General features: G+C 42.8%; 1 protein-coding gene and 1 long non-coding RNA gene across 4 annotated transcripts in view, besides 1 other annotated feature; one reads left to right on the forward strand and one right to left on the reverse strand.

Moving 5' to 3' along the window:
* The window catches only part of SEPTIN4-AS1 (SEPTIN4 antisense RNA 1), a 37,089-nt gene extending 24,545 nt beyond the window's left edge, over positions 1-12,544 (forward strand). The window contains exons 4-5 of the long non-coding RNA NR_110810.1: positions 155-290; positions 12,428-12,544. This is a non-coding gene — a long non-coding RNA (SEPTIN4 antisense RNA 1). The remainder of the gene's footprint in view (positions 1-154; positions 291-12,427) is intronic.
* TEX14 (testis expressed 14, intercellular bridge forming factor) overlaps positions 12,297-23,405 on the reverse strand; it is a 135,368-nt gene continuing 124,259 nt past the window's right edge. For all 3 annotated transcript variants that reach the window (NM_031272.5, NM_198393.4, NM_001201457.2), the window contains 6 exons: positions 21,366-21,443; positions 20,488-20,587; positions 17,139-17,231; positions 15,072-15,181; positions 13,418-13,469; positions 12,297-12,666 (listed from right to left, as the gene is read on the reverse strand). In NM_031272.5, the coding sequence (NP_112562.3) occupies positions 12,630-12,666; positions 13,418-13,469; positions 15,072-15,181; positions 17,139-17,231; positions 20,488-20,587; positions 21,366-21,443 (470 nt within the window). In that variant the 3' untranslated portion in view covers positions 12,297-12,629. The remainder of the gene's footprint in view (positions 12,667-13,417; positions 13,470-15,071; positions 15,182-17,138; positions 17,232-20,487; positions 20,588-21,365; positions 21,444-23,405) is intronic.
* Positions 12,461-12,630: an enhancer, noted in NCBI's record as "active region_12485". NCBI's record gives its function as "activates an Ori minimal core promoter by ATAC-STARR-seq in GM12878 lymphoblastoid cells {active_cell/tissue: GM12878}" and the evidence as "EXISTENCE:reporter gene assay evidence [ECO:0000049][PMID:35858748]".

The raw sequence follows: 23,405 nt of genomic DNA on the forward strand, positions 1-23,405 counted from the left end.
GAGCTTCCTTCCTATTAAACATCCTAGTGTACAGCCACAATTCTTCACAGAATCCCAAAGAAGTACCTGAAAGGAATCTGTGGATTTGTCTTTGGAGTTATATCACCAAGCCTTTGGCAAGTTTTTAACAAAACTGGGATTTCCTTGTACATAGAGAAGGCTCCAGACCCTCCTTTACTCTCCCGAGATTCTAGAAATTCTCAGGACTCATCCAGAGAAGGAATCAGCCAGAAGATCCTATGAAGACAAGATCAAACCAAACACGCTGTGTTCGCCCCAGTTTTAATAAGGTACGAAGTACAAAGTTGCCCCAATTTTGTTTGAAACTGTACTGTATACAAGTTAAAAAAAAAAAAAAAAAGAGAGCTTCAGCTTTTTCCAGGTCTCATGGATTGTTTCATTGCTCCTGGGGTAAAAATCCAGGTTGCTCAAATAATAAAATTCTCACATTCTTGCTCCAGGAGAGTTTAGTGTTTTATTAATAAAAGGGATTTGCCATGTGCGGTGGCTCACGCCTGTAATCCCAGCACTTTGGGAGACCGAGGCGGGTGGATTGCCTGAGGTCAGGAGTTTGAGGCCAGCATGGCCAGCATGATAAAACCCCGTCTTTACTAAAAATACAAAAAAATTAGCCAGGCATAGTGGCAGGCACCTATAATCCCAGCTACTCAGGAGGCTGAGGCAGGAGAATCGCTTGAACCCGGGAGTTGGAGGTTGCAGTGAGCTGAGATTGTGCCACTTTACTCCAGCCTGGGTGACAAGAGCAAAACTCCATCTCAAAAAATATATATAAATAAAAACAAAATAAAAGGGATTTGGGCTGGGTGCAGTGGCTCACACCTGTAATCCCAGCACTTTGGGAGGCTGAGGCGGGTGGATCACCTGAGGTCAGGAGTTTGAGACCAGCCTGGCCAACATGGTGAAACCCCATCTCTACTAAAAATACAAATATTAGCCAGGCGTGGTGGTGCGTGCCTGTAATCCCAGCTACCCGTGAGGCTGAGGCACGAGAATCGCTGGAACCTGGGAGGCGGAGGCTGCAGTGAGCTGAGATCGTGCCACTGCACTCCAGGCTGGGTGACAGAGCAAGACTCCATCTCAAAAAAAAAAAAAAAAAAGAAAGAAAGAAAGAAAGAAGGAATTTGGAGTTAATCATTGGTTTCCATCATAAATGACTACAGGTGTACCTAGGAGAAATTACCTGCCTTCCCTGGGACTTGGTTTCTTCACCTGGAAACCACTGCCTGGTACATGGGTGTCACACAACAAATGTTAATGTCCTTTCTCATGATCCTGTCAGCTATCCAATCAGCCGGACTCCGGTTCTCTCTTGAAAAGTGACTTTCCAATTTGGATGACCATTTTGGAGGAGACTCTGTCACCTTTCTCTCCCTTTCACATGCTCTTTCTCTCATTCTCTCTTTTAGACATAGACTCTACCATATCCAAAATTCTATTATGAACTCTGAAGGGTCATTGAGATTATAGGATGGTCAGCTTCATTTTTCTTTTTTTTTTTTTATTTGAGATGGAGTTTCAAATAAACTGTGCCCAGGCTGTTGCCCAGGCTGCAGTGCAGTGGCGTGATCTTGGCTCACTGCAACCTCTGCCTCCCGGGTTCAAGTGATTCTCCTGCCTCAGCCTCCCGAGTAGCTGGGATTACAGGCGCATACCACCATGCCTAGCTGATTTTCTTTTTTTTAGTAGAGATGGGGTTTCACCATGTTAGTTAGGCTCGTGTCAAACTCCTGACCTCAGATAATCTACCCACCTCGGCTTCCTAAAGTGCTGGGATTACAGGTGTGAGCCACCGTGCCCAGCCAGTTTTAAGTATTTCTAAACCCTTTCTATTCCCCAAAATGAAAGCAGCTTTGGCTAGGTGTGGTGGCCCAGCCTGTAATCCCAACACTTTGGGAAACTGAGGTGGGCAGATCACTTTAGCTCAAGAGTTCGAGACCAGCCTGGGCAACATGGTGAGATCCCATCTCCAGCAAATAAATAAATAAATATTTTAAAAAATTAGAAAACAGTTTTACAAATAATTATAAAAAGTTGAAATCACCTAAGAGGACCCCGTTACTATTTTAATAAGCATCTTTCCACATTTCTTTCTATGCATTTACTATGTAGACATTTAATTATAAATTTACATAGTCTTATTATAAACTTCCCAGCATCCTAGTACTAGCATTATTCCATAACATGTTATGAATACCTTTCTGTCAATAAATCTGTATCTATGATGTAATTTCTAATTAATCCACTTATGGTTGTTCCAGAATGTTTCAAATGAGTCCTTTACTGCTGGACATTAAGTTGTTTCTTTTTTTTCTTGCTATGGTGCCCAGGCTGGAGTGCAGTGTCTGTTCATAGGCCTGAGCACAGCACACTAAAGCCTCAAAGCTTCTGGGCTCAAGTGATTCTCCTGTCTCAGCCTACTGAGTAGCCCACCTCATTTGGGTTGTTTCTAATTTTTCAATATTATAAACAATGTTGCAATAAACATACATTACTATAAATATATATTTGTGTATATTCCAATTTTCTCCTTAGGACAATAGTTCTAAATCCTGGCTGCACATTAGAATCACCTGGAGATCTTTCAAAGCCCATGCTCCACCTCAGACAAAATGAATCAGATAATTTGGGGGTAAGGCTTGAGCACCAGTATTTTTTTAAATGCCTCAGATGGTTCTAATGTGCAACCAGGGTATAAAGTTCTCTAAATCCTCTCTATTCAAAGTGTAGTCCGTGGACCAGCATCATCAGCACCACCTGGGAGCTTGTTAGAAATTCAGGAGCTTGGGGCCCACCTTGGACCTACTTAGTCAGAATCAGTATTTTAACAAGACCCTCAGGTGATACATATGTACAATAGAATCTGTGTCATACTGGTCTAAATGGAGTTTCTGGGTCAAAAAGTAGTCACATTTAAAATACATACTGACAAATATCCTCCAGAGAGGTAGTACCAATTTATACCCCCAACACAGTGAATGAAGATGTCTGTTTCCCCATACTCTCAGCAACCTTAGATGTTATCAATACTTGTCCTCCGCAATCAGTGAGGTAAAAAACAACCGTGTTTTAATTTGCATTTCTTTGATTACAAGTTAAACTGAACATCTTTTAATATGCTAATTGGCTGTCTGTACAGCTTCTTTTGTGAATTGTTCTTTGTCTATTTTTCTATTAAGGTGTTTGTCTTTTTCTTACAGGTTATTAGAACTCTTTGTATATTAGGGATATAAACTTTTTGTTTATCCAATATATTGCAATTATTTCCACCCAGTTTGTTGACTTTATCCTTGTCCAGACATTATTTGCAGTAAAGAAGTTTTACATTCTTAATTCCCAAACTTTATACTTTGGTATGTTTTTTGGACTATTTGGGTTTTTTGAGTTTTTTTGAGACAGGATCTTGCTCTGTCACCCAGGCTGGAGTGTGATGGTGTGAACACAGCTCACTGTGGCCTCAACCTCCTGGGCTCAAGTGATCCTCCCACCTCAGCCTCCCGAGTAGCTGGGACCACAGGCATGTGCCACCGCACCCAGCTAATTTTTAAATTTTTTGTAGAGATGTGGTCTCACTGTATTTCCCAGGCTAGAAACTCTCTATTATGTTCTATAATTCTTACCATTCTTATGCCAATGCCATACTGTTTATTGCAGCTTTATACTACACCTTAATATACGGTAGGACAAGTCCCTCCTCCTTACTCTTCTTTTGCAGCATTGTTTTCAACCATGCATTTATTAAAAGTCCTTTAATTTTACTCTACTATACAATTAGTAGTATCCAGTAGGAGAGTGGATTTTACTTATTTAACTCCCACAGGACCAACTTATTTCTGAGCTCTTGGGGGGCACCTCACTATAACCCACTTCCAATACCAACATATATGAGTACATAACATTACCATTAGCATTCAGAAAGAAGCCAAAAGTAATGTATTTGGAAAAGAGCAATTGAAATTTATTCCAAAAATTTCTTTTTTTTTTTAAAGACAGAGTCTCACTCTATTGCCCAGGCTGGAGTGCAGTGGCATGATCTAGGCTCACTGCAACCTCTGTCTCCTGGGTTCAAGCGATTCTTCTGCCTCAGCCTTCTAAGTAGCTAGGATACAGACGTGCACCACCACGCCCAGTTGATTTTTGTATTTTTAGTAGAGAGGGGGGTTTCACCGTGTTGACCAGGCTGGTTTCGAACTCCCGACTTCAGGTGATCCACCTGACTTGGCCTCCCAGAGTGCTGGGATTACAGGCATGAGCCACTGTGCCTGGCCTTATTCTGAAAATTTCTAATAATCCAAACTTTCCAAGGGTACTCTAGTAATTTCATTCAACAGTGAACCAATGTTTATAAATCATCTATGGGTCTAGAACTTGCTACGTATTCTCTCTGCTTTCTCATCTTGAAGGACTTAGTACATTCTAAAAACTTGGCACAAAACCCATAGAATAGATGTGGAGATTGGGATGAGGTTCATAAAGGACGTGTCACCACAGTGTCAGTCTGCTTTCTGTTGCTATAATAGAAACCTAAGACTGGGTCATTTCTTAAAAAAAAAAAAAAGAAGAAGAAATGTAGGAGTCAGGAGACCTGCCCCTGACCAACTTGGACCTTGGTAGTAGCACATCCAGTTGGGGGATGGCAGGGAGAGCTATCTGCCCTGTATAAGCAATAAAAGGGTGCATTTGGCCAGGTGCGGTGGCTCATGCCTGTAATCCCAGCAGTTTGGGAGGCCGAGGCGAGCGGATCACTTGAGGTCAGGAGTTTGAGACCAGCCTGGCCAGTATAGTGAAACCCCGTCTCTACTAAAAATACAAAAACTAGCCAGGCATGGTGGCACATATCTGTAATCCCAGCTACTTAGGAGGCTGAGGTAGGAGAATCACTTGAACCTGGGAGGTGGAGATTGCAGTGAGCCAAGATAGTGCCACCGCACCCCAGCCTGGATGACAGAGTGAGACTCTGTCTCAAAAAAAAAAAAAAAAAAAGAAAAAATTGTATTTCTTACAATTCTGGATGCTGGGAAGTCCAAGGTTGAGAGGCCACATCTGGTGAGGGCCTTTTTATTGCATCATAACATGGTAGAAGCCTTCACAGGGCAAAAGGGGCTCACAAGAGAGAACCAAAGTGGCTTTTATAACTAGCCAACTTCCATGATAACCCATTAATCCATTAATGGGTTAATACATTCAAGAGGATTGAGCGCTCATGACCCAATCACCTCTTGAAGGCCCACTTCCTAATACTATTGCACTGGGATTCAGTTTCAACCTGAGTTTCAAGAGGATAAACATTCAAACCATAGCAATGAGTTTTAACTTGAAGTTGGCCCTTGGTTCATTCACAATCCTGAAACTTTGCTTAGGGCACTCTTAAACTATCGTCTCAGGGTAAGCTGTTGGTGGAAGGGCTGAGGCTGGGCTTGCTTGTCTGACACTCCAACATAAGCTACTGTGTTTTACTGTAAGTACGCAAATTAATGTTTAGTATGATCTTGGGAAGGTCATGGAACCCTCTTTGGGTAGTCTCTTCTTTTGTAAGTAGTAATAATATCCAACTTTTAGGATTATTCTGAGGATTAAAAATACTCAGTTACCAAATATTTGTTGAGCACCTAATATGTGCAGATTCTGTGCCAGGAGCTGGGGATACCTCAATGAACCACCCAGACATGATCCCTGGCCTTGTGGAACTTAACAGTTGTATGTACCACAGGTGGTGGTAGAACATTCTATTAGCTTTTAAGTGTGCTACATGCTATGAAATAAAAATGTGGTTACGGGCTGGGCATGGTGGCTCACACCTGTAATCCCAGCACTTTGGGAGGCCAAGGCTGGCGGATCACGAGGTCAGGAGATCGGGACCATCCTGGCTAAGACAGTGAAGCCCCATTTCTACTAAAAATACAAAAAATTAGCCGGGTGTGGTGGCACGCGCCTGTGGTTCCAGCTACTTGGGAGGCTGAGACAGAAGAATCGCTTGAACCTGGGAGGTGGAGGTTGCAGTGAGCTGAGATCGCACCACTGCACTCAAGCCTAGGTGGCAGAGCGAGACTCCATCTCAGGAAAAAAAAAAAAAAATGTGGTTATGTGTGTCGGCAGGGAGAGGGCAGGCAAGAAAAATGCGAGTATCTTACAGAGGGCCCTAACCTAGTCTAAGGTTCATAGACTTCAGGAAAACTCCCTGAGGAAGTGAAGTATAAGTAAATTAAGAACCGAACAATGAGGTACCTATGAGGAAGGACATTCTGGGCAGGGAGAACAGCATGTGCCATGAGGTATTTGAAGAACTGAGAGGAATCCAGTTATGTCTAAGAGCTATGGGCAAAGATCTTAACAAGGAAATAAAACAATTTTTTTCATGTTAAAAAGATCATTGTAGAGACAAAATTAGAGAAGAGAGAGTATTAAAGAAATCTTTAAAAAAATGTAACTCAGTTTGTTTTACCCCACTCTGTCCTCTTACTTAGAACCTTCCACTGGATTTCCACTTTTTGCCATGGTCTATAATTCCCCTGCTCAGTCTCCAGCCTCACTTCATCTCCTGTCAGCCTCCCTACAGGTTATTCTACTCTACCAGCCTCCCCCCAGATTAGTCTCCTCCACCAAACTGGCCTTCTGCTGCTCTAATTTGGTGTTTCCTGTGGGGCCTTTGCACTTGCCATTCCCTTGCTGGCATGTTCATCTCCCAGAGTCACAAGACTGGCTCCTTCTCATCATTCCAATCAAAGCTCAAGGGTCACTTCTTCAGATCAACTTTCCCTTGAAGAGCCCTAGCTAATGTTAAGTTGCTCCCCAACCCAATGATCACTGTAACCTATTTATTTTCTTCCTAGCATTTACTGTTTGTTCATTTAACTCCAGGACGGCAGGGACTCTGCTTTGTTCGCGATCACCCCAGCACCTAAAGTAGTGCGTGGAACATAGGAGTCATTCAAAAAAGATCTGTTGAATGTGAGACTGGATGGGAGCAGCCACTTCAGGAGGCTGTTGCAATGGTCCAGGGAGGAATTAATTATAGTCTGGATTAGTGTAGTGGCAATAGAAATGGAAAGAAATGGGTATAAAAGACATAGATTTTAGAGGCCTCTTGAATAGCTGGGACTACAGGTGTGCACCACTGTGCCTTGCCAATGATTGATTTTTTTTTTTTTTTTTTTGAGACAGTGTCCTGCTCTGTTGCCCAGGTTAGAGTACAGTAGCACTATCATGGGTCACTGCAGCATTGAACTCCTAGGGTCAGGCAATCCTCCTGTCTCAGCCTCTCAAGTAGCTAGAACTACAGGTGCATACCACCACACCTAGCTAATTTTTAAATATTTTATAGAAACAGGGTCTTGCTATGTTGACCAGGTTGGTCTCAAACTCCTGGCCTCAAGCAATCCCCCCACCTCGGCCTCTCAAAGTGCTAGGATTACAGATATGAGCCAAAACACCTGGCCTGATTGATTTTTTTATGTAAGGAGTAAAGGAATGGAAGGAGAGTCAAGGATGACTCCTGTAAAATTTGTTATTTTCTGGTTAGAGTGGCTGACTGGACAGCAATACCACTGATTGGAAGGGGAATACTGGAGGTGGAGAAAGTTAAGACTATGAGTTCAGTCCAAGTGGAGACATCAAATATATGGGTAGTAATATCAGCTAAGAAGAGAAATCTAGTCCTAGACTACAATACAAATCTGGGAGCTGTCAGTGTATATATAGACACTAACTGAAGCCATGGGAGTGAACAAGGTCTCTTAGGAGAAGAACTTGCAATGACAAAAGATAGAGGTGGAACCCCCAAAGGAGGCTGAGGTGGAGTAATCAAGAGAGATAGAAGGAAAACCAGAGTGTGACATCAGGAAAGCCAAGGGAGTAGGCAAAGAGCAAATGACAAGGAGGCCAAAGTGTCCATCAGATTTAGGAGTAAGAGTCGCTGTGATTTTTTTTTTTTTTAAGACACCATCAAGCTCTGTTGCCCAGGCTGGACTGCAGTGGCAGGACCTCAGCTTGCTGCAACCTCCATCTCCCGGGTTCAAGCGATCCTCCTGTCTCAGCCTCCTGAGTAGCTGGGATTACAGGCATGCACCACCACACCCAGCTCATTTTTTTGTATTTTTGGTAGAAACAGGATTTTGCCATGTTGGCCAGACTGATCTCAAACTCCTGACCTCCGGTGATTCACCCGCCTTGGTCTCCCAAAGTGCTGGGGTTACAGGCATGAGCTACAGCACCCGACAGAGTCACTGTGATCTTAAATGACTGCTAGAGAATAGAAGGAGTAGAATTCAGATTCTAATGGGCTGAGGAGCTAGTGGGAGGTGAGGCACTAAAGATAGCAGGTGTAGACAACTCTCTCAAGAACTCTTGTAGCAATGGGAGTAGAGAGATTAGACAGTAGCTGGAAAAGTAGGTGAGATCCAGGAAACGCTTTTCAAAGTTAGGAAAATCCAAGTGTGTTAATGCTGATGAAAAGAAAAGCAGCAGCCAGGCTCAGTGACAACAGCCTGTAGTCCCAGCACCTTGGGAAACGGAGGTAGGAGGATTACTCGAGCCCAGGAGTTTGAATCCAGCTTGGGCAACACGGTGAAACTCTGTCTCAAAAAAAATGAGGGGTGGGTTGAAGCTACTGAAAAGAGAAATTATAAGCTGGGAAGGATACCCCTGAATGGACAAAAGATGATATTGGCCAAGGACAGGAAGAGGGACACCTCCTTCAGTATAACAGGAAGAGGGATACCTCCTTCAGTATAAAAGGAAGGAAAGTGAAAAGAATAGGTGTAGAATAAGTCCATCTCTAGTGCAGGGCAGACTGCTTCACCTACAACTGTTGTTCTGTTCTGCACAGATAGATGTGGCCGTGTTAGTAGTTTTGGTTTGGTGGCAGGCAGCTGAGTTCATTCCCATCTGATGGCTTCTATTTTTTCTGTAAAGTTGGAGGTAAAGTCATCTGTTGAGTTTATGCAGGCCGGGCGCGGTGGCTCACGCCTGTAATCCCAGCACTTTGGGAGGCCGAGGCAGGCGGATCACAAGGTCAGGAGATTGAGACCATCTTGGCTAACACAGTGAAACCCTGTCTCTACTAAAAATACATAAAAAAATTAGTCGGGCACGGTAGCGGGCGCCTGTAATCCCAGCTACTCAGGAGGCTGAGGCAAGAGAATGGCGTGAACCCAGGAGGCAGAGCTTGCAGTGAGCCGAGATTGCGCCACTGCAGTCTGGCCTGGGCAAAAGAACGAGACTCTGTCTCAAAAAAAAAAAAAAAAAAAAAAAAGAGTTTATGCAAAGTGAGGGATGGAAGTCTGAAATAGATGATGAGAGTGGGAGAAGAAGCATACTAAAGAAACACAGTAGTCGGGCGCGGTGGCTCACGCCTGTAATCCCAGCACTTTGGGAGGCCCAGGCAGGCGGATCACTTGAGGTCAGGAGCTCGAGACCAGCCTGGCCAACATGGTGAAACCCTGTCTCTACTAAAAATACAAAAATTAGCTGGGCATGCTGGCACGCACCTGTAATCCCAACTACTCCAGAGGCTGAGGTGAGAGAACTGCTTGAACCCAGGAGGTGGAGATTGCAGTGAGCCGAGACTGTGCCATTACACCCCAGCCTGGGTGACAGAGCAAGACTCCAACTCAAAAAAAAAAAAAAAAAAAAAGAAAACACAGTGGGGCTGCTATGTGCAAGAAAAGGATTAATGTATATAAGGTAACCGGCACATCATAGTTGCTCTATAACCAATAAATAATACCTGCCAACATAATCGTTAATATTGGCCAATATTACAGTCACTGGCCAGACAGAAGAGTCTACTCTGAATAAAGGAGATTACAATCCTTATCAGCAGGAACTTGTATACTAGGACTTGTAGCCTTTATGAATACTAATAATTAATGCCATAATAATGTAGCTCATCATTTATCATGATATGTCTGCTATTGGTCCTTTCATTTGTACGTATGTTGGTTTTGTCTCATCAATTAGAATATGTTTTTTGAGAGGAAGATGGTGTATTTTAAATCCCTGTATCCTTTAAAGTTTCTTCACCCAGGCCAGGAGCAGTGGCTTGCACCTGTAATCCCAGCACTTTGGGAGACCAAGACAAGAGGATCACTTGACCCAGGAGTTTGAGAACAGCCTGGCAACATAGGGAGACTTTATCTCTATTAAAAAATTTTTTTAAAAGTCCAGGCGCAGTGGTTCACACCTGTAATCCCAGCACTTTGGGAGGCCAAGGCGGGTGGATCACCTGAGGTCAGGAGTTCAAAACCAGCCTGACCAACATGGTGAAACCCCATCTCTAGTAAAAATAAAAAAATTCGCCAGGTGTGGTGGCAGGCGCCTGTAATCCCAGATACTTGGGAGGCTGCAGCAGGAGAATTGCTGGAACCCGGGAGGCAGAGGTTGCAGTGAGCCGAGATCATGCCATTGCACTTCAGTCCAGGTGACAACAGCGAGACTCTGTCTCCAAAAAAAAAAAAAAAAAAAAAGCCAGGTGTGGTGGCCCATGCCTGTAGTCCCAGCTACTTGGGAGGCTGAGGTGGAAGGATCGCTTGAACCCAGGAGTTCAAGGCTGCAGTGAACCATGATCGTGCCACTGCACTCCAGCCTAGGCAACAAAGCCAGATCCTGCCTCTAAGAAAATCAAACTTTTCTTCACCTGGTATTATTTATAAACTAATTTGTTTTCTGGTGGTTTTCCTCTGGTTACCATAGCAAGCAACTGTTTCCTTACTTTAAAATGGTCAAATAGATTTATACCTTCTCATTTTATCTGTGCAGGCTAAAATTTCTGAGTGCAAAGAAGTAGGAATACAACCATCCACAACAAGAACTATTCAGTTTTCACAAACAAAAGACCTACTATTTACTCACCAAGACAGAATAATAACATGTTAGCTGGCTAGTACTGCACAACAGCACATAGCTTCTAAGAAAATGTTTTTATTTATGGCCAGGCACAGTGGCTCACGCTTGTAATCCCAGCACTTTGGGAGGCCGAGGCAGGCAGATCATTTGAGGTCAGGAGTTCCAGACCAGCCTGGCCAACATGGTGAAACCCGTCTCTACTGAAAATACAAAAATTAGCTGGGTGTGGTAGTGTGCACTGTGGTAGTGCACACCTGTAATCCCAGCTACCCAGGAGGCTGAGGCACAAGAATCACTTGAACCCAGGAGGCAGAGGTTGTAGTGAGCTAAGACGGTGCCACTGCACTCCAGCCTGGGCAACAGAGTGAGACTCTGTCTCAAAAAAAAAGAAAGTAAAATGTTTTTATTCATTATGAAGATTCCAAACTGGAGGTAGATGAAGGTATATAAAAAATCTGCATGGCCGGGCCTCAGGCCTATAATCCCAGCATTTTGGGAGGCCGAGGCAGGTGGATCATGAGGTCAGGAGATTGAGACCATCCTGGCTAACATGGTGAAACCCCATCTCTACTAAAAATACAAAAAATTAGCCGGGTGTGGTGGCATGCGCCTGTAGTCCCAGCTACTCAGGAGGCTGAGGCAGGGGAATCGCCTGAACCCGGGAGGTGGTGGTTGCAGTGAGCCAAGATCGCGCCACTGTACTCAAGCCTGGGTGACAGAGCGACTCTGTCTCAAAAAAAAAAAAAAAAAAAAAAATCTTCACATATGCATCTGGCCAGTGGTCACAACAGGCTAATTTAGAGACAATGCTATGATCTTAGTGGTACAATACAAAATATATGGAGATAATATTTGTTCACCTTAATGAGTTCAAACTATCTTAGGACTTTACTGCTACCTGTACTTACTTTTTTTTTTTTTTGAGACACGGTCTCACTCTGCACCCAAGCTGGAGTGCAGTGGTGTAATCACGGCTCACTGCAGCCTCAACCTCCTGGGCTCAAGTGATCATCCCACCTCAGCCTTGCAAGTAGCTAGGACTACAGACATGCACCATCATGTCTGGCTAATTTTTTAATTTTTTATAGTGACAGGGAACTCCCTCTGTTACCTAGGCCAGTCTCGAATTCCTGGGCTCAAGCCATCCTCCTGCCTTGGCCTCCCAAAGTGCTGGGATTGTAGACGTGAGCCACCACATCTGGCCACTACCTGTACTTTGATTGTGTGAGCCAATTCTAGCTGGAATGGGAATATGGCACTCTCAGCCAAGTGGATGGGCTGTAGTTCTGTTATGAGACACAGATGACTGGTACCAGTATATATAATGGGTGGTAGCGGTAGCTGCATATTTGTCAGAAATTGAAGCCTCTTTGGGTGGCAGTTCTCCCCCCAACTCCCAATAACTCAAATTCAGAAATATATCTTACACAGCAAAATCTGTTATTAAAATTAAACATTTTATTATATAACAAGAGTTAAAGTTTTTGAAAATTAACATCAACAAAACCAAAGCCATTCTAGGCACAACCAAAAATTTTTACTATCAAAACTACCTCTCACTTTTCAGAAATCTGACTGAAAACAAATGGTTGAATGTGCTGCTAACAGAGAGGGCCAAACGATGATGTCTATTGTGGCAGCTGAACAAAGTGAGACTTACAGAACTGGAACTGCTGCCCTGACAGCAACTGAAGCAGAAAGAGAAGAAAGGAGCTTACAACCAGGACACTCAAACTCAGGCCAGGAGTCCGTCTATGATCCAATTCCAATCAGTCTGACAAGTCACTCTGATCCAGCACGATTATCCTATGCACATGTTTTTTAAAGAACAAAAAAGGAAGTTTCGAGTTGGTATGTGTGTTTTTTAAAGACACAAACCACATCCTCTTTCTATTCAATTAAATTCAAGGGAAAGGAATTTTGGTCTTTATAATCAAGGGCGATTATAACCAACAGTGTGTCATGGAAATGCAAAATGACTACAGAGCAATTGACAGCAGCATCTTCTGTATTCTCTCCATATTAAACCTGTTCTTTTTTTTTTTTTGAGACGGAGTCTTGCTCTTATCCCCCAGGTGGAGTGCAATGGCGCGACCTCGGCTCACTGCAACCTCTGCCTTCCGGGTTTAAGCGATTGTCCTGCCTCAGCCTCCTGAGTAGCTGGGATTACAGGTGCCTGCCACCATGCCCGGCTAATTTTTGTATTTTTAGTAGAGACGGGGTTTCACCATGTTGGCCAGGCTGGTCTCGAACTCCTGACCTCAGGTGATCTGCCCGCCTCGGCCTCCCAAAGTGCTGGGATTACAAGTATGAGCCACCGTGCCTGGCCTAAAACTGTTCTTATGCTGACTCTATCACTTATTGAATCAAAGTTGGCATTAATTTCACTTTATAGTTTAATTAACTATAAACACTAACATTTTAAAAATTAAGCAACTTTGTCTAAATTGGAGTCTTTGTCATTAATGTGTATTTAGACACTGGTAAATGTTTTTAAGTCTGCTTCTGTTGTCTATAAACATGACTTTTGATCTACAAACATCTGATATTTCATTACCTGGATGATTCGGACCAACCTAGTCGCTTCCAAAAACAGGATTTTAGTTCATCTTGATGAAATATAAGAGGAAGGAAAAAACAACATGATTAATTTCTAGGTCAAAGGGTGCCAGTATTCATATTAGTGCTCCCTCTAATTTAGAGTAGACTGTTTTACCTACAATGGTTGTTATATTCTGCCAGATAGACTCTTTCTAAAAACACAATTAATGGGCTTCCCCTCCTAACATTCTATAGTTTTCTGCCACAGCAATGGGCGCTAATGACACTAATTCACAAAGTCCCTGTATTATCTTCTCAGTGAAATCAATACTATTAATAGCTAAATGCCTACACGTTCTGGGCCCTGTGCAGTCAGGGTTCTGGAGGAAACAGAATGTACCCACGGCTGGTTCAAATAAAGATCCTTAGTGAAGTGACTACATACAGAGGTTTATTTAGAGTTAAGGGAACAAACAAGGAATGTCAAGGCATCCAGTGATTAGCAGCAGTGGGAAGCCTAAGTCTGAAGGAACTGAGTGTTGGAGATGAGAGGTCAGTTACTAGACCTTAATGAGAGCTGGAATTGGGAAGAATGGACTGCCTACAGAAGCCGCACTTGTGGAGAGACACCACTTCTACCAGGCACAAGGTGCTGAAGTAAGCAGTGAGGCAAAGTAATACCCCAAATTCTCTCTAGCCCCACTAATCTTCTGCTGGGGCCTGTCATTGGCAAACAGGAAGCCCAGGAGATGCAGTCCACTAGGGTCAGCATTCTGGGGCACAAAGCAGGGCAGAGATGGGGAGAATGAGAAGGAAATCAGGAAGAGGTGAAAGGAATACCAGATGATCTGAAAGAGTTAAAGTCTCTTACTTTCCTGAGTAGGAAGAACTTAAATATGGGAGAGCGTCATTGTAAAGGGCATATCAGAAGCCTTCAAAATCTATCAAAATAGTTTTAAAATTAAGGTTAATTTATAATTTTCACATTACTTGTAGACTCCACTTAAATTCCATAAAATATGATTTATTACTGGATTTTGAAGCATCTATGTGAGCTAAATTTAAAACTCTTTGGAAGACGTTGGACAATTAGAAGCAAAACATCGGCCGGGTACAGTGGCTCACACCTGTAATCCCAGCACTTTGGGAGGCCGAGGCAGGCAGATCACCTGAGGTCAAGAGATCGAGACCATCCTGGCCAACCTGGTGAAACCCCGTCTCTACTAAAAATACAAAAATTAGCTGGGCATGGTGGCATCCACCTGTAATCTCAGCTACTCAGGAGGCTGAGGCAGGGGAATCACTTGAACCCAGGAGGCAGAGGTTGCGATGAGCCGAGATCGTGCCACTGCACTCCAGCCTGGGCAACAAGAGTGAAACTGTCTAAAAAAAAAAGAAGCAGCAAAACGTCTCCCCAGACAACGTGCAAGATAATGATGATGAGACTGGGCAAAAGCTTGCTTTGGAAATAGAATTGGATGTTATTACTGTTTTTGTGATAAAGCTATGATTGGCAATTAACAGAAAACCTGAGCTGAACTGCAGAGAAAAATAAATTATCAAAGGTAGGAGGATTATGTATAGCATCTGGGAAACATTTCTAAATAACTTTGAAGCACATCAAAGCCCAAGGACTACAGACTACATTATAAACATACATTAATTCATACCTTCTTCAGAAGTCCCTAGAACACCCTCTGATTTCCTTCTTTCTGGTGTAATGCTATCTTCCCTTTTTCTTTTCTCTTCACCAACTTTTTGATCTTTGATATTTGTCTCCCTGTAACAACAATTATTTGGGGAATCAAAACGTATACACAACAGCCAAGAAAACAGGACTGTACTCAAAACAAAAAACAAACAACAACAACAACAACAACAAAACCATATAATAGCTAGCACTAACAAGAGTGTTCTCTATGCACCAGGCATTGGTTTAAGTGCTATAATTTAACTCATTTAATTCCCATAACTATATAAGGTAGTTACCACTGCCATCCCCATTAAGCAATGAGGAAACCGAGGCACAGAGAAGTTAAATTACACACCTAATAATTCCTAGAGCTAGACTCTGACCTTAGACTCAGTCTGCCTTAGACTCTGCTTTCAACCACTATGCTATACTGCTCCAAAGGAAAAAAAAGGCATTTTACTTAAGTTTTGATTGGTGTCCCTTTCAAAACCATCATTTATTTTATCATCTTATCTTCATTTCCCGAAACTCTCTCCTAAGTGAAATATGTAAATAATTTAAGTACCTCAAAATTTAAGACCATGTTTGTCAATCTATTAAGCAGAAACCATCCCCCCGACCCAACTGGAAACTCCTTATAGGCGGCAGAGCCATCTTATCCCTCTTTGTGGTACCTCTAGCCCCTAGCACAGTGCTTTGGACATTGTCAGTGCTCGGTGGATGCTGGTTGAACCAAAATAACATTGTTTAGGGATTCTTCTGTTTTCATTTGGTGGATAGTCAAAACAAAATACGTAAAATGAGAGAGAAAATAAAGCCAGCTAGAGTGAAGAGAGATTTTTTCCCCTCTTAATATTTTCCCACTAATAGAATCACAGGTTCAAGAGTTGGAGGAGGCCTTTGGGTTATATTCCGCCCCCGTTCAAATGCCCAGGACAGGGAATCATCCAGCCACTGCCTGAGCAGCAGTAACCATTACTAAAATAAGTGTAAAGGCAGGCAGCTATTTCCCTTTATCAGATAGCTGTGGCTATTAGGTTTGTGCTTTATTGAATAAAAATCTGTTACTCTGCAATTTCTAGTCACTAATTAGTCTTCTAGGGCAGACAAGTAAGCTGACTCTCTTCACTTTGCAATATTTCAGGTATTTGAGGGCAGCTATCAAATTCTCCATTCCATCTGCCTTTCTCAGGCTGAGCCTCTCAGCTCCTTCAGCTGTTCTCATATGACATGGTTTCCAGACCTCTGACTGTTCTGTAGCCACACTCTTGTGTTTGTTAATATCCCTTTTAAAATGTGATACCCAGAATGGAGCCCCACATGTGTCCTAGGACTCCTCTGAACAGCACATTACCGTCATCTGGACAGTACATTTTTATATATCCAGCATCAATGCTGCATTGACCTTTTCAGCACTTCATCAAACAGGCCTCACAGAGTCATTGCCCATGCCTTCCTCAGGAAGAATTTCTTGACTTCTCATCATGTCTCAAGATGCATGGCTCATTACTGGGCATACAAAAATAAGACATACTTCTTGCCCTCAGTAAAATTATAGTGAGCAGAAGCTTCTGATGAAAACTTCTCCAGTTAGACCAGGTCTCACACATTCTGTAATTTTGGATCTTTGACCTTTATCTTTTACAGAATCTAACATTTCCACCTGTCAAGATGATTTTGAATCCTCAGTCTATCACTCATCACATCAGCATTCATTCCTAGATTTGTGTTATCTAAAAATTTGATAAGCATACCTTTTCTGATTTAATTCACATGACTGATGAAAATGTCAAAGGTAGCAGGGCCAAGATACAGCAAACTTAGAAGCCTCTGTCTATAATGATATGAATCTGCTAATCAATATCTTGAGTACTGTGGGTGGTCAGAGGAAGAGGGGCAAATATGAGTGCAGACAGGTGGAGTCAGGGCTGGCTTATCTAAATCAATGTAATGCCATCATCAGGCATTCATTCTCCAAGAAGTCTAAAACCTAGCCCCACTTCCTGAAAAAGAAGAAAAGGATTCCCCTTTGGGGAACAATAACCTTTCAGAGCCCTTGGGAAGGTCTTGTAGCTCCACGCTCTCCTCAGGTGGCTGCAGCCATCTTTCCAGGTCCTCATCCAGAGTAGAGTGAGCTCTGTTTAAGGACAAGTGAAGAGAATGGAGACAACAGTCATTTCCCATCCCCCTTGACAAAGATGCATAACACTTTAGAGTAGAAAGGGACCTTAAAACCTGTGCTTTCACTATATGTATGAAAAAACAAGAGCTCAGTGAGATTGTGTCTGGAGTCATAGAGGTCACTTAGATCTGACTGAAATATGCACTGGTCGGGTGTGGTGGCTCACATCTGTAATCCCAGCACTTTGGGAGGCCAAGGTGGGTGGATCACCTGAGGTTAGGAGTTTGAGACCACCCTGGCCAACACAGTCCAACCCCATCTCTACTACAAATACAAAAATCAGCCGGCGTGGTCGCGTGCGCCTGTAATCCCAGCCACCCGGGAGGCTGAGGCAGGAGAATGGCTTGAGCCTAGGAGGCGGCAGCTGCAGTGAGCCGAGATCACGCGACTGCACTCTAGCCTGGGTGACAGAGCAAGACTCTGTCTCAAAAAAAAAGAAGAAAGAAAGAAAGAAGAAATATGCACCAAAATAGTCCTTTAATCCCTTGACAAAAAGCCTTAGCACCTATTAAGATCACTGCTTCCCCAAGTCTGATGGTAGACTCTGTCTCAATTCTAGGTCACTGAGTTAGTTTTCTACCTGAGGCTAGAACTATACATGCTTTCCTACATGTTTTTCCAAGAAAAGGCTAGAAGATGCAGGGTAGAGTATTTTAAGAATGCCTGAAAGTCCTGCTCATCTGAAAAAATGTCTTCCACTCTGGCTTGGTGCCTAGATTGATCATTCACAGCACTGAGATGACTGAGCATCTGTGGGGCATCTATCTGTGGCCAGCACTGCTGGCCCTTTTGGAAGAGGAAGAGACAACAATAATAATAGCTAACTTTTGATCACGTAAAAAGAGCTTAATTTTCTTTTTTTTTTTTGAGACAGTCTCGCTCTGTCGCCCAGGCTGGAGTGCAGCGGCACCATCTCAGCTCACTGCAACCTCTGCCTCCCAGGTTCAAGCGATTCTCCTGCCTCAACCTCCTGAGTAGCTGGGACTACAGGTGTGTGCCACCATGCCTGGCTAATTTTTTTATATATAATTTTAGTAGAGACGGGGTTTTGCCATGTTGGCCAGGCTGGTTTCAAACTCCTGGCTTCAAGTGATCCACCCACCTTGGCCTCCCAAAGTACTGGGATTATAGGTGTGAGCCACTGCGCCTGGCCCCTGTAATGTCAGCACTTTGGGAGTCCCAGTTGGGTGGATCACTTGAGCTCAGGAGTTCAAGGCCAGTCTGGGCAACATGGCAAAACCCCATCTCTACAAAAAATACAAAAATTATCCAGGCATGTTGGCATGAGCCTATAGACCCAACTACTTGGCAGCTGAGGCAGGAGGATCACTTGAGCCCAGGAGATCAAGGCTGCAGTGAGTGGTGTTCATGCCCTATTGCACTCCAGCCTGGGCAACAATGTGAGACTCTGTCTCAAAAAAAAAAAAAATTGCACTAAAATATTACTTATTTTGACTACTGAGTTTTTTTGGTGCTCCCTTCAATTTTGTATCCAAGGAGTCTATCTCCTGAGCTCACCTTAACCTAGTCCTGGCCCCGAATAATGATAGTTCAAGAGAAGTCAAGAGGCAGAGGAGGTGAGCTGAAGTAGTTTACCCTACAACACAGGCAAAAAGAGCTCCAAATCAGGAACAGAGTCAGGTTTCTTGAGGCAACCTTGTACTTTTAGACTGAATTGTCTGGAAGACTGCCCCCATTTTCTCTTCTAAGGCCTTTAACTAAAATGTTTTGAAAGAGACTGAAACTTGTGTTTGCCTAACAAAATGAAGTAAAAATAAACAAACAAAACCCTAAAAACAACTCAAGAGAAAATAACAACAAATAACCCTATCAAAAAATAGGCAAAGAGCCAGGCATGGTGGCTTGCACCTGTAGTCCCAGCTACTTGGGAGGATGGGGCAGGAAGATCACTTGAGCCTAGGACTTCAAGTTCAGCCTGGGCAACATAAAGCCCATCTCTAATTTATATATATATATATATATATATATATATATATATATAGAGAGAGAGAGAGAGAGAGAGAGAGAGAGAGAGAGAGAGAGAGCGCAAGATCATACATATGTATGTATATAGAGAGAGATCATACATATATATGTATACATATATATAGATCATACATATATGTATACATATATATGTATACACACACACAGACACACACACACACACACACACACAGACGGCAAAGAACTCAGACATTTCTCCAAAGAAGATATACAAATGGCCAACAAGCACATGAAAAGATGTTCAACATCATTAATCATTAGGGAAGGGAAAACTAAAACTACAGTGAGGCACCACCTCACACCCATTAGGATGGCTACTATATTTAAGAAAAAAAAAGCCTCCACCCCCACAAAAAGAGAGAGAAAATAACAAGTGTTGGCAAGGATGTGGAGAAACTGAAACCCTTGTGCACTGTTGGTGGGACTGTAAAATGAGGCAGCTGCTATGGAAAATAGTGTGGCAGTTCCTCAAAAAATTAAAAATAGAATTACCATATGATCCAGTAATACCATTTCTGGGTATATATCCAAAAGAATTGAAAGCAGGATCTCAAAGAGATATCCGTACACTCATGTTCACAGCAGAATTCTTCACCATAACAAAAGGTGGAAGCAACCTAAATGTCCATCAACAGATGACTGGATAAATGAAACATATTATTCAGCCTTAAAAAAGAAGGAAATGCTGACACGTGCTACAACACAGATGAACTTTGAGGACATTACGCTAAGTTAAAATAAGCCAGTCACAAAAAGACAAATACTGTATGATTTCACTTATGTAAAGTATCAACAGTAGTCAAACTCATAGAAACAAAAAGCAAAATGGTGGTGGCCAGGGTGTGGGAAGAAGAGAAAATGGGGAGTTTTAAAATGGGTATAGAGTTTCAGTTTTGCAAGATGAAAAGGTTTGGGACATTAGTTGCACAACAATGTGAATATACTTATTAAGGTTATTGGACTGTGCACTTAAAAATGGTTAAGATGGTAAATTTTGTTATATACATTGTATCACAATTAAACATTTTTAAAGCAAAAAAAGCAACGCTTTTTAAAAAAGTAACCCTTTAGGAATAGGGGCTATTAGGATAGTATGAAAAAAGACCCCACTTTTTTTCTTTCTTATTTGTCAATATTAGAAAAAAACCTAACATAAACTATACAATTTTTTAAATCCTTTCAACAGTCCAGCTTTTCCTGTTACCTCTCTGTGTCCTCTCCAAGATCTTCAGTTTCTTTGGACAAAAGCATACTACTATCTTCTTTTTTACTGTCAGTTTCTTGTTCTTCTAAGTGCCTTTGATCTAAAAACAGTTGAAAGAATTAACTTTATTAGAACGAAAAAAAAATTGAGAAAGCTTGCCTTAAAATAGAGTGCAAAAATTAAGGCCAATCAGTGGTCCCTGAAGTGTGCAATGCATTAGCTCCCCTCTTCCCAGGAGAGCAGGGGGCCAGGTGGCAGTCTGCAGGCCACCTGCATTTGCAGCAGCTGCTTCTGGGGTCTTGGAAGCTTTTCAGTGCCAGGTGAAGCTACAGGAAACCTTGCTTGTGCCAAGGCTCAAGGAAGACAGAGGAAGCTGAAGAAAGAAAGGGCACATAAAAGAGGAGGCAAGCAACCATGAAAACAAATTGCACAAATTTACTTTGGGGACCATCTTGTTCTCACTTGTTAGATGTTTCTAACTTGGAGCTCCAGGAAAGGAATTTGGGTGGGGAAGGGATGTACCCTTTAATGTATGCCAAGCATTTTACATATGCTATCTCATTCCATCCTGCCAGCAGTCCTATAAAGGGAAGAGGACTAACATTTGCTAAGTATTTGAAAATGTTAGTACTTGTACATGGCTCTGTACATGGAGCTAATATGTACTTCATGAGACAGAAATTATTGTCCCCATTTTACAGATTAAGACGACTGAGGCTCAGAAACAGTAAAACAGCTTGCCATACAAATAACTATAAAGTCAGACTTGAGGTGGAGTTGTGCCTGACCTCAAGGTCACACTTCCCTATATGTACCACTGTGTTGCCAAGGACAGCGTTAAAAGAACCTGATGAAAACAATCTAGGTAGTTCACTTACCATTTGCAGTGCCTCCTCCATCACTTGCTGTGTTCTCATGCAACACCGTGGATGAGCCCTGCTGCTGTTTCAAGAGCTCTGTCACAACACAAAAGCCAAAGGAAACTTATTTCCTCCCTTGCGTGTCCTGCCGTTCTCTAGAGCAGTGGTTCTCCAAGGGTGATCCTTAGACTTGCAGCATTAACATAACCCGGGAACTCGTTAGGAATGCAAATTCTCAGGCCTCATCTCAGACCTGCTGAATCAGAAACTCTGGGGGTCTAGCAATGTGTGTTTTACTTAGCCCTTCATGTGATTCTGATGTCTGATAAAATTTGAGAACCACTGCTTTAGGGCATTCCAGGTTTGAAAGGAATTCTTTAGGTATGACAAAATCCCACACAACACTCAAAATAGAAATGATGATGATCATACATAACACTTGCAGAACCCCAGGTGTCAGGTTCTGTTTCTAAGCACTCGCATACATTAATTCAGGATGAATGTTCACAATTAATCTTCACAACAACCCTCTGAAATAGACTGTGTTATTGTTACTCCTATTTAGCAGATGAGGAAATTTAGGTTAAGAAACTTGCCTAAAAATCACACAGACAGTAAGTGGTAAAATTGGTAAAAATCCAGGCAGTCTAGCTCTAAGGTTTATGCTCTTAATCTCTATTTTATAGTCTCTCAAAAAGTTAGTAACATCAAAACAATCTAAATGTTTCCCCATCTCTATTCACCTATATTTCATACTTTTTTCCTGGTTTATGAAAAGACAGAAGGCAGGCTGAGCATGGTGGCTCACGCCTGTAATCCCAGCATTTTGGGAGGCCGAGGCAGGGGGATCACTTGAGGTCAGGAGTTCGAGCCCAGCCTGGCCAACATAGTGAAACCCCATCTCTACTAAAAAAATAAAAATTAGCCGGGCATGGTGGCACACACCTGTAATCCCAGCTACTCAGGAGGCTGAGGCAGGAGAATTGCTTGAACCCAGGAGGTGGAGGTTGCAGTGAGCCGAGATGATGCCACTGCACTCCAGCCTGGGTGACAGAGTAAGACTCTGTCTCAAAAAAAAAAAAAAAGGAAAAGAAAAAGAAAAGATTGAAAGCAAAGAATATCCATCATTTCCAGTTCCTAAAGAAATACTCAGCCTGGCCAGGAGCAGTGGCTCACACCTGTAATCCCAGCACTTTGGGAGGCTGAGGCAGGTGGATCACCTGAGGTCAGGAGTTTGAGATCAGCCTGACCAACATGGTGAACCCCATCTCTACTAAAAATACAAAAAATTAGCCAGGCATGGTGGCTCATGCCTGTAATCCCAGCTACTCGGGAGGCTGAGGCAGGAGAATTGCTTGAACCCTGGAGGTGAAGGTTGCAGTGAGCTGAGATCACTCCATTGCACTCTAGCCTGGGCAACAAGAGTGAAACCCTGTCAAAGGAAAGGAAAAAGGAAAGGAAAGGAAAAAGGCAAGGCAAGGAATACTCACTAGACTAAGACAAGCATCTGCTAACTCAGTATGCTGCTTTATCCTCAAAGTGCTCTGCAAAGCAAAGCAAGTTGGGAGGCAGCATAGACAAGCCACCCTGAGCTCGTTGGCATGGTCCTCTTCTGTGCTGGTGCAGGTCTTCTCCCTTCCTGCAGTGCAGGAAGCAGTCCTACCTGGCAGCCATGGGTGTCAAGGGTCCCCATAAGATCATTTAATATAATTTGAAATTTAAAAAATCCATTTTCGTCCTTGTTAAAAGTAGTCCTGCGCAGATCTTAAATGATCATCTGTATCCTAGTTCTAAAGAACCTTCCACTTTAGGCACCTGTCAGGAGCCTAGAGCTTTGGATGTGAGCCCTCCAAAATAGCAGTTGAGAGTTCCAGTAACTCCCCAAAGGTCTCTTTAAGGGAAACAACAGAGTGATGATATATAGTAATCAGGCAGGCAAGCCCATTATCAGAAGAAACTACTCAAGTGCCCTCTGCCCTTTATCCTTCTGCAAAATTACTGACCCATCTCAAAGTGCAGACATTACCTAGAAACCTGGTCCAGATAATTCCCATAAGT

The sequence above is a fragment of the Homo sapiens genome, chromosome 17 (genome assembly GCF_000001405.40).
Source record: "Homo sapiens chromosome 17, GRCh38.p14 Primary Assembly".
In the NCBI taxonomy this organism is placed as follows: domain Eukaryota; kingdom Metazoa; phylum Chordata; class Mammalia; order Primates; family Hominidae; genus Homo; species Homo sapiens.